The 16779-nt window shown below is 40.9% G+C and overlaps 1 protein-coding gene across 13 annotated transcripts in view; it reads right to left on the bottom strand.

Annotated features, from left to right (window-relative positions):
- Window positions 1–2492: 2492 nt before the first annotated feature.
- SLC38A6 (solute carrier family 38 member 6) overlaps window positions 2493–16779 on the bottom strand; it is a 102489-nt gene continuing 88202 nt past the window's right edge. For 6 of the 13 annotated variants that reach the window (XM_017021022.2, XM_017021020.2, XM_017021021.2 and 3 more), the window contains 2 exons: window positions 7299–7396; window positions 2493–2676 (listed from right to left, as the gene is read on the bottom strand). In XM_017021022.2, the coding sequence (XP_016876511.1) occupies window positions 7307–7396 (90 nt within the window). In that variant the 3' untranslated portion in view covers window positions 2493–2676; window positions 7299–7306. Of the gene's footprint in view, window positions 6491–7298; window positions 7417–16779 lie in introns of all 13 variants that reach the window. The other 7 variants (XM_047431001.1, XM_047431003.1, XR_007063987.1 and 4 more) reach the window with 6 other exon arrangements.

Below are 16779 nucleotides of genomic sequence, written 5' to 3'. Positions count from 1 at the left end.
TTGTATCTCCTCTATTTTTTGTCAGTCTGGCTAAAGGCTTATCAATTTTATTGATATTTTATAAGAAATAGGTTTTGGTTTTATTGACTTTATTGTTTTTCTGTTTTTCAATTTCATTGACTTCTACTCTTATGAACACTTTTTTATGATTGCATTTTATCTCCATTATTTGATTTATAGTTGAGAAATTTTTTAGTTGTTGTCCTAGCATTTACACAATACATCTTTAATTGATCAGAGTTTACCTTCAAATAATATACTGCTTCATTCATAATGTAAGGATCTTAAAATAATTTCTCCTCAATTCCTCCCTCCCAACCTTTGTATCATTGTTACGATACATTTTACTTTTACCTATCCTATACACACATAATACATTGCTACTATGTTTACTCTTGACAGTCATTTATCTTTTAGGATCATTTAAACATTTTACATGTATCTTAGTTTACCTTCATTTAATCAATTTCCAGCGCTCTTCATATTTTTGTGTCTTTAGTTACGCATTTCTATCTTGTTTCACATTTCTCCTACCTGAAGAACTTCTTTAACATTTCTTCTCAAGTACATTTATTGGCAATACATTCTTAGTTCTTGTTTCTGTATTCCTGCCCCTTCCTTGGGACAGAGAGGTATTTTGTTCTGTTCTTCCCTAAGTTTTGCCAGTAGACTAAAGGAAACAGTATTTTTCCCTTTCTCCTGTAGATTAAGGCTTTTTTTCTAGAAAGGAGAAAGGGTGGGGTTCATGCCCCTTTGCAGTGGCTATTTTCCCTTTCCCCCATACCTGCACTGTGAGGGATTCTTTCTCAGGACTTTGGCCAGTCTTTTCTGGTGGGATACAGTGCCTGGTGGAGTCCATGGAGAAAAGTCTCCAAGAAGGTGCAAACTCCCTCTACATATGCATTCCCCAGGGTCTCCATACTCTCACCAGTCCTCACTCATTCGCCACCAATTCTTTACCTACTCCTGCTGAGTTCTTCTGTTGGCTACATCTGCTCCAGGTAAGCAAGGGCTTGTGTCCCATGCTTCTTCATAGGCCTCCTCCAGTCCTTAGATTTTTAGGCTAATTGGCTGCCCTGTGACCTCAGCTCTCCAAAAAAAGTAGTAAACTTGCAGTTTGTCTGGCTTTTTTTTAAAAGTTTAAGTGACACTCTTCCTAGACCTTCACATGCTGAGATTTTATTCTCTTTTCACCTGTCTAGCCCACAGGGCCATTTCATTCCTCAATAGCTTTTCACACCCACAAGAATGCCTTGTGGTGTAGAATTGGATAGAGATAGTAATAAGCTAACAAAAAAGTGTTCCTATTGCCCTGGAGGCATCATCCTCCCAGGGGAGAACTCTATTTTGTGAAAGGTCAGATGTCCAACTGAGGAATAAGCCTGGTCTCTTGGCCCACTCTGGGAAGGGCCAGTAGCGAGTCTAGCTTGCAGAGAGGGCAAAGACTCTAGCAGCATCCCCATGTTATGTCAGGATTTCCCTCTTTGGAGCTATGGGGACAGTGAAGATTGTGTTTTAGCTTGGGCAGGTGAAAATAACATGGTTGAGAAGCTTCATTTATTGGAAATAGGAATGAGGAGCCAGAAACAGAATCTCATCTTACTGCATACTGTGTACCTATTTAGGTGTCTGAGCTGCTCTGGCCTCCAGATTTGACTTCATTCCCAAACGAAAAGGAAGAAGGGAAAGAGATGCTCCATTCACCGGTTGTATGTATGGGGCCTCTACAGCAGGAGACTGTGAAGTAAAAGTTGAAATTGATTGACTGGTTGTTTATGAAGAGCTAATGAAAACCTGACTGAGAATAGGTTGGTACACGGGTCTCTGTCTCTGCTGCACTGTGGTTTTCAAGGTTTCCTGGACTTGGGAGGAGGGCATAGAAAGTTGCTGGGCAAATCGCACAGTCTCCCCTATGCTAGACTCAGAGCTGCCTTCCCTAGTAAACATCACCATTTTCTTGCCTTCAAAGATTTCAATGCTTTGTGCGTATGTATCAATGAAATTGTTTACAAATACTGCTATAGAAGAGCAACCTTGTTTCCTTACTGGGTTATCGCAGTCCATTCATATCTGCATCCAACATGTTGCCTCAAAATACCCCAAAAAGGCAGCTTTTGTTACCTATGCTTTACGAAGAGGAAAACTGAAGCTCACAGGGAATGATCAGTCCAAAGTCACTCACCTTCTAAGAAAAGGAAATACCCTGGAGTAGCACTAGGGTACCCAGGTGGGTTCACATGATAGGGAGGGACACCGGTAGCAGGGAGACACTTCCAGTGACAGATTTTCTTGCCTTTGTCACTAAAACCTCCTGTTGGCATCTAAGCCTGGATATCCATCAGGGTCCCAACAAGAAACAGATGACTTCCCAAAAGGAAAGCTTACCAGAAGGACTTACACACTGTAATAAGCAACATTTAGGGAAATCCCCATGGAATAGTAAGTACCACTGTATTAGTTTGCTAGAACTGCCACAACAAAATACCACAAACTGGGTGATTAAACAACATCATTTATTTGCTCACAGTTCTGGAGGTTGGGAAGTGCAAGATCAAGGTGTGGACACGTTTGGTTCTCCTGAGGCCTCTTCCCTTGGCTTGTAAACAGTTGCCTTCTTGCTGTGTCCTTGCGTGGCCTTTCCTCTGGGTGCACATCTCCATGGTATCTCTTCCTTTTCTTACAAGAACACCAGTCACATTGAATTAGGGCTTAATGGCCTCATTTTAATTTAATTACTTCTTTAAAGACCCTATCTCCAAATACAGTTGCATTCTGAGGTCCTGGGGATTGGGGCCTCAACCTACGAATTTGGGGTTGGAACACAATTGAGTGCATAACAGCTAATAGCAATGAAGGGGGCTACCACCCTATGACTGAAGGGGCAAGAGGAGGTGGAGGTTTCCAGAACCCAGAACCTGGCAAGCATGGCTACACATGGGGAGGGCCACCTGAGGTGTAGTCTACCCACAGTGGCCTGGCAGGCAGGGAGGAGGCAGCAGACACCTTGACCTCACTTTCCTCCCTCTGTAGGCTCCCACTGGTGCTGCTCTCTGGCTGAACCCAACAGGAAGCCAGGGGCAAGGGAATCCATTGCTACAGTCCACTAGGTGAACCTCTGGGCTCAGAGCAGGAGGAAATGGTAGAGGGCCAAGCTCAAACTATTTGGTGTGGCTTGCAAACCAAACTCTTAAGTTCTGCTCTGAAGTGATGGTGATTTATGAGAGGCACATTTGATTGCCTGGTTTTTTCAATTATTCCCGGATATGTTCAAAGGTGAGAGGACACTGAGAAAACACTGTGTCTATAGGGTCATTCTGAGGAAACACTGTAATAAAACAGCCTTTAGAGATGACTTCCCTAAGGCTAGGGTCAGGAGTCCCTTCCACAGGGCTCCAGTGGACAGCAGAGAAGGCCCCTGTCCTGGAGTGCAGGCAGAGGCAGCTGCATGGACAGAGGCCCAGAGGCATGATCCCTGCAGTCATGAGCAGGATGTGGCGTGGTGACTAGAAAGGGCCTTGAGGAGAGGGGTAGAAACCTAGGGCAGGCCTGACCCTTCTCTACTGTTCATCTGAGCAACGTGGAAGGCACCTACAGGCGTCTGCAGGTGAGTCTCTGCTTCAGTCAAGCAAACAGGAATTAAACTACAATGCTACTACGGGGTAATGAGTGCTGCAGAAGCACACTGAAGGGGCACCTAAGCTCGGCATGAGAGCCCAGCAAAGGGTTCTGGGAGTGAGTACTCCTCTTGGAGGAAAAGTAAGAGGTGGCCAATGAAAAGGAGTGTGCCCTTCACTTGACTAAAACAGAGACTCATGGAACAAGAAAGCCCATTTGCAGAGACCCATCATGGCAACAGGTCTTGGTACAAGTTAAAAAACAAAATCAAAGCAGTCAACAGGACTAAAGACATTCTCTGAATTTCCAGTGAGTAAGTAGGCTCACTGGAGCTGTGACAGGCAGACCAGTTTTACGATTTCAGCCGTATGACAGAAGACAACAGCAGGGGATGGGGTGGTTATCCAAAGATCTCAAACTTTTCAGTATGTTTTAGGTGAGGGTGGTGCGGGGGTGCTAATATTCATCCATCCATTGATGCACACTTTGGGGGACACTGTGTTAGGAAGTGTGGGGATGCAGAAAAGCAGAGGTGATGGTCACTGCCCTGCAGTTGTTTACAGCCAGGCACCTGGGACTACACATAAACACGAGGCACTACAGCACTGCTGTGCACTCCCATGTGGCATCTTCCTGAGGCACAGCCTGTCTCTCCCATGTTACCGATACCACGTTCCACAGAAAATGTAGTACTACACAGCCTACCCCAGTGGTTCAGAACCTAAGCTTGGAATCAGGATTCCATCCTGACTTTTAAAAGTTTGACACTGGATACATTATTTAACCTCTCTGAACCTGTCTTGTCATCTGTAAAAGAGAAATAATAAAGCCTTCCCTTTGGAATTGTGAGGGTAAAATGAGCTAGTCGCACAAATTAAGTACTCAGTAACAAAAGTACTTAGGGATTCAGGAGAGAAATTTTTTTTTGAGACAGAGTCTCGCTCTGTCGCCCAGGCTGGAGTGCAGTGGCGGGTATTGGCTTACTGCAACCTCTGCCTCCCGGGTTCAAGCGATTCTCCTGCCTCCACCTCCTGAGTAGCTGGGATTACAGGCACACACTACTACGCCTAGCTAATTTTTGTATTTTTATTAGAGATGGGGTTTCACCATGTTGGTCAGGCTGGTCTCGAACTTCTGACCTCTGGTGATCTAACCACCTCAGCCCCTGCTGTGGGATGGGTGGTCAGGAAAGGCTTCATGGAACATGAAAGACTTACGCTGGACCTGGGAAGATGGGTCTGGGATTTCTATGAGTGATGAGCAAAAGGACAGTTCAAGCAATGACCCAAAGCACTGGTCAAAGTAGAATAATTCCTGTGGTCTCTGGGCCCAGATCCTTGTCCAATTTACCTTGGTTTCCATTCTTCAATCAAACTTCCTGGCTCAGACAACACCCCATCTATGGCCCCTGCTTCCAGGTCTGGCTAATTCCTCTCCTGCTCAAAACGCCTATGATTTGCTACTTGCCATGTGGCCCTCTAATTCCATCCCAAGGCTCCAGAGGTGCAGATCTGCAAACCAGCATGATTAGCCACCATTGCTGGCTTCCCATTCAGCATATAAATCTAGTGCCTGGGATTACCTCATGCCAGAAAACCGAAATCCAAGTCAGATGGTTAAAGCATTAATAGCAGTGAGTGTTGTAAAGACTCAACAATGTGAACCTTCCCAAAATGAACCATCCTGACCTCCCTCGCGCTGACAATGCGTGTGTGACATCATGTGTAAATGAGCCTTAAATTTGAACCAGGTGCCGAGAGCTGTCTGGCGTCTCCTGGCTGCTGTATTAACCACTAACATGCACAGGGGGATTCTGAGGCAGTAAAATGGAGCGAAACCAACAGCAGTGACCAGGGCCCGGTGCAGCAGCTGTAGCAGAGAACATTCAAATCACACCCACCCGACTGGGCCTGGGCCCCCGGGTCCTGTAAAGCATATTTCCGGAGGGCTGGGGAGCCTAGGGAATTTGGCTGCCTTCATGCAGAGACAAAAGCTCCCCATGCAAATCAAACCACTTCGACTTGCTTCCCAGACTTGATTCTGAGCTGTTTTGATTTGCATCCATGAGGGTAGAACTCAAGTTCAGACTGAAGCTGCAGTTGGTAAGAACCAAAACCTATTGCATGCAGGTACAGGCAGTGTAAGATATATTTTTGGAAGGCACAATTTCCAAAGGAGAGAGTCAGCTCCAAATTCTCAGGTGCTATGACTTTCACCAGGCTGGGACCTGGAGAAAAAAGTGTGCCTTTGTCCATTTGGCATCACAGAGTCCCTCAGCTGAGCCTCTCCCCACAATAGGTCACATAACACGCCAGCTCTAGAGAACACGAAATCAAATTTGGAGGGATGGAATTAGGTGTGTATAGTGGGTGGGTGTCCTTATCATTGTCAGTCATAGGTATGAGAAAGTAGATGAAGAAGAGTAAAAGCAAGTTAGGAAGAAATAGTTCTTTAAAAAATTAAGCCTGCATAAAATTAACAGGTTATGTTGTTGTTGTTGTTATTGCCTTTTAATGCTTATTGTTCATGGTGCCCAATCTCAGGTTATTAACAGCTTGGCCATGTTAAAACCTGTATCCTGATCATCACTAGCAGGCCTACAGCAGAGACTGGAGACAGTGAGGATAAGAAAGAGGTGTACCAAGTGATCCTCTCTTGCTGGGGACTGTTCTAGAAGCTCTACACATGCTGGGGAAAGGAGCAGAAGCCAAAGACAGGTGAAACTCCCATTCCATGGATCCCACAGGATTTCAGCCTCAAAGAAATCCTTCGTTGTTCAGGGCACACTCTTAAACCATCAACACTCACCAAGTATACTGCACTGTACCATGAAGTCTCTGAGGTGGATGGGTAAAGTAGGGATGGGAGGCAGGTTCTGGATGGAGGATACAAAGGAGTTGGCAGATGTGGAACCTTTCCTAAAGGCTGTCGCAGGGTGGTTAGACATACAAATATACAAGAATTTGTATATTTTATCATTTAGAGAAATTAAATGTAGCATCAAGATGTTGAGCATAGGTTTCCTGAGTAATGGAGCAGTTACATTAAGTCATAGTCAGGTAAGTCCTTCTAGAGGAGGTTGAGTGTGGAAACAGGTTTTGAGGGAGAAGAAACGCTTTGGAGGGGAAAGAGAAAAACAACATGAATGGTTTGTGCAAAAGTTTGGAGGCAGGAGGCCGGGCACAGTGGCTCACACCTGTAATCCCAGCACTCTGGGAGGCTGAGGTGGGTAGATCACCAGAGGTCAGAAGTTCGAGACCAGCCTGACCAACATGGTGAAACCCCGCCTCTAATAAAAATAGAAAAATTAGCTAGGTGTAGTAGTGTGTGCCTGTAATCCCAGCTACTCAGGAGGTGGAGGCAGGAGAATCGCTTGAACCCGGGAGGCAGAGGTTGCAGTAAGCCAATACCCGCCACTGCACTCCAGCCTGGGCGACAGAGCGAGACTCTGTCTCAAAAAAAAAAAAAAAAAAAAAAGTTTGGAGGCAGGAACTCATAGGAAGTCTCTTAAGATGCCAGAGGTCTTGACCTGGCTCGGTGGCTCACGCCTGTAATCCCAGAATTTTGGGAGGCCAAAGTGGGCGGATTGCTTGAGCTCAGGAGTTCGAGACTAGCCTGGGCAACATGGTGAAACCCTGTCTCTACAAAAAGTACAAAAATTAGCTGGGCATGGTGGCGCATACCTGTAGTCTCAGCTACTCTGGAGGCTGAGGTGGGAGGATTGCTTGAGTCCGGGAGGCAGAGGTTGCAATGAGCTGAGATCACACCACTGCACGCCAACCTGTGCGACAGAATGAGACCCTGTCTCAAAATAAATAAATAAATAAATAAATAAAATAAAAAATAAAAATAAATAAATTAAATAATTAAAAAAAAAAAGATGCCAGAGGTCTTAATAGGATCTGAGGGCATGAGGAATTTTCCAAAACTCCAGAAAAAGTTCCTCATATGCCCAGGAGCTGAGACTTAAGAACAAATCAAGTGTGGTTTTTAGATAACTAGCCCTTGAAGGCCTAAAGTGCTTCTTTTTAGCTTTTGGAAGACGATGGCACTAGTCCAATGCAGAGAGGCAATTAATCTTTCTCTACCACTTCTACTTGATGTAAAGTCCAAGCTCAGCCTGGGTCCAGCATTCTCTACATCAGGATCCTACCCTTCAGCTTTACTTCTCAAATTGCTATTACATCTGTGCTCCTGGCAAAATTTTTACTTGTCATCTCCAAAGTATACCTTGTATTTTCCTGTACATATTGTTAGTATTTTCTTTCCAAACAGGAGTATCTTCCTTTCATTCTCATTTCTACTTTGGTTATCCTTCAATTTTACTTCAGTTGTTGCTTTCTTCACAAAGTCTTCCCCACTCACCCAGAAGGCAGTGAACCCCACCTCTATGAGCTTATCCAGCAGAGCTTTTAATGTTCATATTACTCACCAAGATATGTCATTCTTTCAACAAGCACGCACAGATGGCCTCATGTGCATGTGGCACATGCAATAGCCACACCCTGCGCTTCAGGGTATTACCGTCCCAGGTATTGTATAGAGGTCACCTCCATTGGATTGTAAGTTCCAGTAGTTTACCAACTAAAGAAAAATACTGTACCTACCTAACAATGCTTTGTGACAGGGAAAATCAGCTATTCACAAATGAGGCTGGAAATATAATTTGAGAATTTGCTCTCGCCAGAATAAAGTTCTAGATTGCTACAGTAGGGCTCTCTGATTTATTAAAAGCAAATTACTTTTTGTTTTACTATAGAAGTAACAACATTATGAAATGTTTAAGTAACTGAGTGTGGGAGTGATTAGACATCTTTTGGGAGAGTTGAGTAGAAAAAAAAATTGAGGAAAGCCATTTTACACTGAAATTAAAATGTATGAATACAAGTCTATTTATGTAGTCTCATGAGCTAATAAATTGAGAACCATTCTGGATGAATGAAAGCAAAGAATTTATTTGAATGCAAATGAATGACAAATCTTTAGACAAAGACAAGGAGAGGCTCCAAGTATTTTGCTTCCCTGTGAAATGTAAATATTATTATGGTATAATCCTTACTGACTTTTGATATATCATATAAACTTAGGAAGTTATATAGTAAAAATGTCCTGTGTTTTTTTCTGAATTCTGAAGTGTTGACAAAAATTTTGCAAATTTGTAAACCAGAACTTATTTAGATATTTTTCGCTCCCAAAGGTTAGGATTAGTAATGACTGGGGAAAGAGTCAACTAGGTCATCAACGAATTTTGTAATCAAGATCTGTTTTTGTATCTACTTCTTTCCACCTATAAGATAACTGAAGTCAATGAGCATTAGAAGTGAAGAAATCTTTACTGAATTTTTGAATATAGACTGGTTATTTAGACTGATAGTTTCCAAGTGTTGGTCTATGAGAAAGTTTTCACTGGTCTTTGATGAGATAAATAACTATGTAGCAAGTTTTTCACAAAGGTTATAACCTTCCTTAATTTTTTATATTGAAAGTGGCAAGTTTAATATCCTTAATCAATTTATAAAATAAAAAGTCTGCAATCTTATCAATGTCCCAAGATTCATTTTGACGTTCTAAAGTTCCAAAAGAAATCTCAAATCTGGGAAACACTGAATTAGACTACTGATGGTCTAAGCTATATTTGGATTTTTAAAAATTGTGTTTGTAGAAAGTCACAGAACACAGAAATGGATTTCTGACATTGTTTCGTAAGACATCCAAGTTTTCTCAGTCTAGTTGACAACTACTGGAACACATCCCTGCTCTACTTGAAGACCCATATACCTTTCCTTTGTCCAGAATTTCCTCTGAAATACTTAACAAAGGAGAAACAACAGTGCTGTGGCAATGAACCATGACTCAAGAGGACACAAGGCCGGCCAAAATACTGTCTGGCTGATGTAACAGAACAGATTTAGGTGCCACATTTTAAATGAATAAAGCAGCCTTCAACACAGTCAATATTGACTATGTATCTGCTATGAGCAGAACCTTTTTGTAGAAAAAAACTCCAACAGTTGGATACACTTTATTTACATGGTAATTAAGCACACAGCCTTTATAGTCAAACTTCAGTTTCTATTCTTAGGATGGCATCTTAAGGATGTATAACCTTGAACAAGTCATTTAACCTTACAGTCTCTCTAAACTTTAATTTCTAATCTATTAAATGGGGAATATAACTGTGCTTACCTCAGATTACATGAGAATGTGCTTGGCATAGAACCTGGTCTATACACCGAAGTGCCAGCTCAGTAGTGTCATATTATTTTATGAGACTAATGATCTTCCATTCATTTAAAGTATGAAACTTTTTCAGATTTTAGCAGGTTGGAGAACTGGGTAAGAAAACCAGGGAATTATAAAATTTGTTTCTACTCTTTTTCCATGGGAGTGCTCTTCCCTAGGGGCCCCACTCCCTCTGATTCCTACTGCCACCATCTAAGTAGAAGTTGAGTTGAAGGCCGGGTGTGGTGGCTCATGCCTGCAATCCCAGCACTTTGGGAGGCCAAGACGGGCAGATCACCTGAGGTCGGGAGTTCAAGACCAGCCTGATGAACATGGAGAAACCTCGTCTCTACTAAAAATACAAAATTAGCTGGGTGTGGTGGCTCATGCCTGTAATCCCAGCTACTTGGGAGGCTGAGGCAGGAGAATTGCTTGAACCTGGGAGGTGGAGGTTACAGTGAGCCGAGATCACAGCATTGCACTCCAGTCTGGGCAAAAAAAGTGAAACTCCGTTTCAAAAAAAAAGGAAGTTGAGTGGCTCTGATCCCAAATACATACACACACACACACACACACACACACACACACACACACACACACACACACACACAAACAGGTTGATCTATGGCACGTTCTTGGAGCCTGATTTCTGAACTACCAGGCTTTGTTACAGAGAACCTAGCAAGATGACCGTAAGGGGAAATGTTAGAAATTCTAGAACTGCTCCAATCTCCAAGATCTACCTCTGTGGAGGTCTGGTCTCTTGTCTCTAAAAAGAGGCATTCCCCTACAGGTACAATTGATGACTAGTAAATAATGAGCCCTTAAAGCAATGAAATGACAATATATTGCCAATGAGATGTCAAGGAAAGTTCAATACACTTTGAGAATTAGGAAAAGTTGGTTCAATCACATCCCTCATATGAGGATCGTCCCACAACCCTCCTGATGTGCCCACGGACTCTGGGAGGAAGCAAGTGGCTTACATTTTTTCTTGGCCATCTCTGCCTTTGAATTTCACTTTTTGAGGTTTCTGGATCACCTGGATAGCATAAGGCTGTATGTGTTCTGTCCCATGTGAGTCTAAAGAAGGGTTTACATGCACAATTCTGTTCACACAAGGTATTTTTGTGTCTACTGACTTTATTAGTTTCAGGAGACAGAGACAGGCAAATTAAAACTGAATATTAAACGCTTCTGTTCTTAAAATGCCCGTCAGCCACTTTTCCTCTAGACTCCCACCACTGGGTTAGCACTCTCTGCCTCTTTCCCTTTGCTTTTCTCCAGTTCCCAAATTCACATTTTCTCTTTTATGCAGAGTGGTTTAGCTATCTCTCTCACTTCCTCTCCTCTTGCCAACCATTTTCATAGGGTCACATTTTTTTTGATTGAGGTGAAATTCACATAACATAAAATGACCCTCTTTAAAGTATACAATTCACAGGCATTTAGTAAACTCACATTGCTGTGCCACTGTATAAGAATTCACCGTTCATACCTAAATGACTTATCAAGATATTCCCCACCACCACCAAAAAAAAAAAGACATTAAGGATATTTCCCTTACTAAGAGAAGTTCTGGTGACAGCTGCATCAAGCAGCTTCTTATCCTTTTGGAGAAAGGGACAACATTTGTGAAAGAAGAAAGAAAGAAAAGAAAGAGAAGGAAGGAAGGAAGGGAGGGAGGGAGGGAGGGAGGGAGGGAGGGAATAATAGGCTTGTTCACAGAAAGTTCTGTGGACAGAATTGTGTCTCCTCCAACCCCTCAATTCATATTGAGGCCCTAACCCACAAGTATTTCAAGATGGGGTCTTTGGGAGATAATCAGGGTTAGATTAAGTGATGAGGGTGAGACCCTCATAATGGGATTAGTGGCTTTATAGGAAGAGGAACAGAGATCACTCTTTCTCCACCATGTGAGGACACAAGAAGGCAGCCATTTGCAAGCCAGGAAGAGGCCCTCACCAGGACCAAAATAATTCTAGCCAGCACCATGTTCTTGGACTTCCCAGCTTCCAGAGCTATGAGAAATAAATTTCTGTTAAGCCATCCAATCTATGGTATTTTGTTATAGTAGCCTGAGCTAAGGTAGATGGTGACTTTTACAAAAAATAATTTTCAACTTTACTTACTGCTTCATGGAATGTCAGTAACTTACTTTGCAAATTATTCAGCAAATATAAATGTATTTACAGTTGACCTTTGAACAATGTGGGGGTCAGAGGTGCCCACCCACCACACAGTTGAAAATCTGTGTACAATTTTTGACTCTCCCACCAAAACTTAACTGCTAATAGCCTACTGTTGACTGTAAGCCCTACCAATAACAGTTGATTAACACACATTTTGTATGTTATTTGTATTATATACTATTTTCTTACAATAAAGTAAGCTAGAGAAACAAAAATGTCATTAAGAAAATCATAAGAAAGAGAAAACATATTTACTATTAAGTGAAACTGGATCATCATAAAGGTCTTCATTCTCATTGTCTTCATGTTGAGGAGGCTGAGAAGAAGGCAGGGGAGGGGTTGGTCTTGCCTTCTCGGGGTGGCAGAGGCAGAAAAAAATCCCCATATAAGTGGACCCACACAGTTAGAAAACCCATGTTGTTCTAAAGTTAACTGTATATTTACATATAAATATAATTTATATGTGAGTCACAAAATAAATACGACCAAATGCTAAGTTTCAGTGGTAGGTATATGGGCATATTATTTCAACTTGCATTCATGTTTAAAATTTTTCATCATAAAAAGATGGTAAAGAACTTACAGAGGAGAGCCTTTCCATTTAGCTAATTTATACTTAATTATTCAAACAAACCAAATTTGATAATAGATCCAAGGATTAGTTGGCCTTTCTGAGTTAATGATAATACAGGATCCTGGAAGAAAAATATAAATGAATGGTGTCTGCTATGGGTTAAATGTTTGTTCCCCCCAAAACTCACGTTGAAATTTAATTGCCAATGTAATGGTATTGGGAGATGGAGCCTTTAAGAGGTGATTAGGCCATGAGGGCTCCACCTTCCTCAGTAGGTTTAATATCATAATAAAAGTGCTTTCAGAAGAAAATATCTGCAAACTACCCATCTGAAGTGGGATTAAGAATCAGAATATATGAGGAACTCAAACAACTCCATTGGAAAAAATATAATAATCCAATCAAAAAATGGGCAAAATATTTGAATAGACATTTCTCAAAAGAGGACAAACAAATGGCTAACAGACATATGAAAAGGTGCTCAACATCACTGATCATCAGAGAAATGCAAATCAAAATTGCCATATCATCTCACCCCAATAAAAATGGCTTTTATAAAAAATACAGATAATAATAAATGCCGGAGAGGATGTGGAGAAAAGGGGAAAGGGGACCTTTATGCACTGTTGGGGGGGATGTAAATTAGTACAACCACTGTAGAGAACAGTTTGGAGGTTCCTCAAAAAACTAAAAATAGAGCTACCATATGGTCCAGCAATCCCACTGCTGAGTGTATACCCAAAAGAAAGAAAATAGGTATACTGAAGAGCTATCTGCACTCCCATGTTTGTTGCAGTACTGTTCATAATAGCCAAGATTTGGAAGTAACCTAAGTGTCCATCAACAGATGAATGAATAAAGAAAATGTGGAACATATACACAATGGAGTGCTATTCAGCCATAAAAACAATGAGATCTTTTCATTTGCAACAACATGGATGGAACTGGAGACCATTATGTTAAGTGAAATAAACCAGACACAGAAAGACAAACATCAAATGTTCTCACTTATCTGTGGGATCTAAAAATCAAAACAGTTGAATTCATGGACATACAGAGCAGAAGGATGGTTACCAGAGGCTGACAAGGGTTGTGGGGTAGTAGGGGCAGGGTGAAAATGGTAAATGAGCACAAAAAAATAGAAAATATGAGTAAGACCTACTATTTGATAGCATAACAGGATGACTATAGTCAATAATTACTTAATCGCACATTTAAAAATAACTAAGTATAATTGGATTGTTTGTAACACAAAGGATAAATGCTTGAGGGGATGGATACCCCATTCTCCATGGTGTGACTGTTTCACATTGCATGTCTGTATCGAAACATGTCATGTACTCCATAAATATATACACCTACTATGTACTCACAAAGATTAAAAATAAAAATAATAAAAATAAAATAAAATAAAAGTGCCTTTGGAAGCGGGCTTTCTCTTTTCACTTATGTGTCATTTGAGGAACAGTATTCCTCCCCTCCAGAGGGTGGAACATTCAAAGGCCATCTTGGGAGTGGAGACAAGGCCCTCACCAGACACCAAACGTGTTGGTACCTTGATATTGGATTTCCCAGGCTCCAGCAACACAAAATAGACTAAGCATCTCGCCTAAGAATATCACACACAATCACACCCTTTCCTGGAAACAGCAAACATGCAAAGGGGACAATTCTCACATGGGACTCATCAGAAACGCCACTCATGGGAAAACTCCCTAAATACACAAGATTTAACAAATATTTACTGAGCACCAACTACTGTGAGAGATGCTAATATGTAATGTCATAGTTCCTGTCTTTGGGTTAATTACAACGGAGTCAGAGAGGTAAAGTATTTAAATGTGAAAAGCTAAATAACAACACAAAATTGAAAGGGTAATTCCTACATAGTTGTTGTGAATATAAATCAGTATATCTTCTTTTTTCCTTTTTTTTTTTTTGAGACAGGATTTTACTCTGTCACCCAGGCTACAGTGCAGTAGAGCAATCACAACTCACTGCAGCCTCAACCTCCCTGGGATCATGTAATCCTCCCACCTCAGCCTCGCAAGTAGCTCGGACTATGGCCACACGCCACCACACCTGGCTAATTTTTGTATTTTTTGTAGAGAGAGGGATTTGCCATGTTGCCCAGGCTGGTCTTGAATTTCTGGGCTCGAGTGATCCACTCACCTCAGCCTCCCAAAGTACTGTGATTACAGGCATGAGCCACTGTGCCCAGCCAATAAAATCTTTAATGAAGGTCAATGTAGTAATACCTACCAAAATTAAAAATGCACATGCCCTTTGACCCAGAATTCCAGTTAAATGGATAGAAATATATACTACAGATATATTAATATATGTGCTAAATGACATATGTATACAAAGATAACATTTGAAGCATTATATAAAATTGCAACATTTGAAAATAAAAAATCCCTCAATATGCATTGATAGGAAACTAGCTAATTAAATTATGGTCTATGCATTAACAGAATACTATGCAGCTGTTAAAATATTTAGGGAGTTTTGTGTATACTGATACAAAATAATCTCCAAAACATAATGCTAAATCAAAAATAGACAAGTGGGACAACATCCAACAGAAGAGATTCTGCACAGCAAAAGAAATAATCAACAGAATAAAAATCTTAAGGAGAGAGAAAATATTTGCAAACCGCATATCTGATAAGGGGTTAATATACAAAATATAGAAGGAACTACAACAACTCAGTAACAAAAAAATTAAATTTTAAAATGGGCAAAGGACATGAAAGAAATTTCCCCAAAGACATACAAACGACCAGACATTATATGAAGATGCTCAACATCACTACTTATCAGGGAAATGCAAAACAAAACCACAATGAGATATTGCCTCACACCTGTTAGGATGATCATTATCAAAATAACAAAAAACAAATGCTGGCAAGGATATGGAGAAATTGGAACCCTCGTGCACTGCTGATAGAAACATAAAATAGTGCAACCATTAAGGAAACCAGTATAGAGATTCTTCAAAAAATTTAAAATAGAACTACCATATGATACAGCAATCTCACTTCTGGATATTTAAACAAAATGATTGAAAACAGAATCTTGGAAGAGATATTTGCACTCCCATGTTTGTTGCTGCATTATCCACAATAGCCAAGAGGTGAAAACAACCTAAATGTCTATTGGCAGATTCATGGATAAAGAAATTGTGGTATACACATACAATGGAATATTATTCAGCCTTAAAGAATGAAGAAAATTCTTCCATGTGCTGCAATATGCATAATACTTGAGGACAATATGCTAAGTGAAACAAGCCAGTCACAAAAGGACAAAATACTACATGATTCCTTGGTACAAGATGGCGAGAGCAGTCAAACTCATAGAAGCAAAAAGTAAAATGGCAGTTGCCAGGGACTGCAGGAACAGGGAAATAGGGAGTTGCTGTTCAATTAGGCACAGAGTTTTAGTCATGCCGGATGAAAAAGTTTTAGGTATCTACTATACAATGTGCATATAATTAACAACACTATATCGTACACTTACAAGTTTGTTAAGAGGGCAGATTTCATGTTAGGTGTTGTTTATTTTTTGTTTTAGCACAACTAAAAAAAGTCATAATGTTAAGTAAAGAGAAGTCAAAGGGGCAAAGGATTTCATGTTGTATGCCAACATTTGCGGGTGTATATCCGTGTATTCTCCTTGTGTTTGTGTATTCTCTCTCTCTCTCTCTAAGAGAGGCATAGAATATACTGGGAAGAACACAGAAAGTTGTAAAAGTGGTTGCTTCCAAGGAGGAAAACTGGATGCTGGGGATAGAATTGGATGGGAGGGTATTTTTGTAAATTTAAAATCTGTACCATGTGCACATTACCCACTCAAAAACTGAATACAAAATTACAAAAGTAGTTTATGAAAAAAATACGAAAAATCTTACAAGGTACTAATGGTATACCAAAATAATCATACAGATAATAAGGGGTAGACTAGAGTGGAGAATAAAGTGTTTACAGAAGTGGGATTTGAGCTGGGTGTTGAAGAATGAGAAGCATTTGGATAGGTGGAAAATAAGTCACATTCTGGGTATGTACCTGGAAGTGGGAGTAGGGAGAGGAGTAACAATATAGAAGAGGGTAATAAAAGGCAAATCAAGTGCTAGACAGAAAAAACAGTTTAAGGGTATTGTAGAACATACGT

This window comes from Homo sapiens, chromosome 14 (assembly GCF_000001405.40).
Source record: "Homo sapiens chromosome 14, GRCh38.p14 Primary Assembly".
Lineage (NCBI taxonomy): Eukaryota > Metazoa > Chordata > Mammalia > Primates > Hominidae > Homo > Homo sapiens.
Note: the sequence above shows the minus strand (reverse complement) of the source record. Positions and strands in the feature narration are given on the sequence as shown.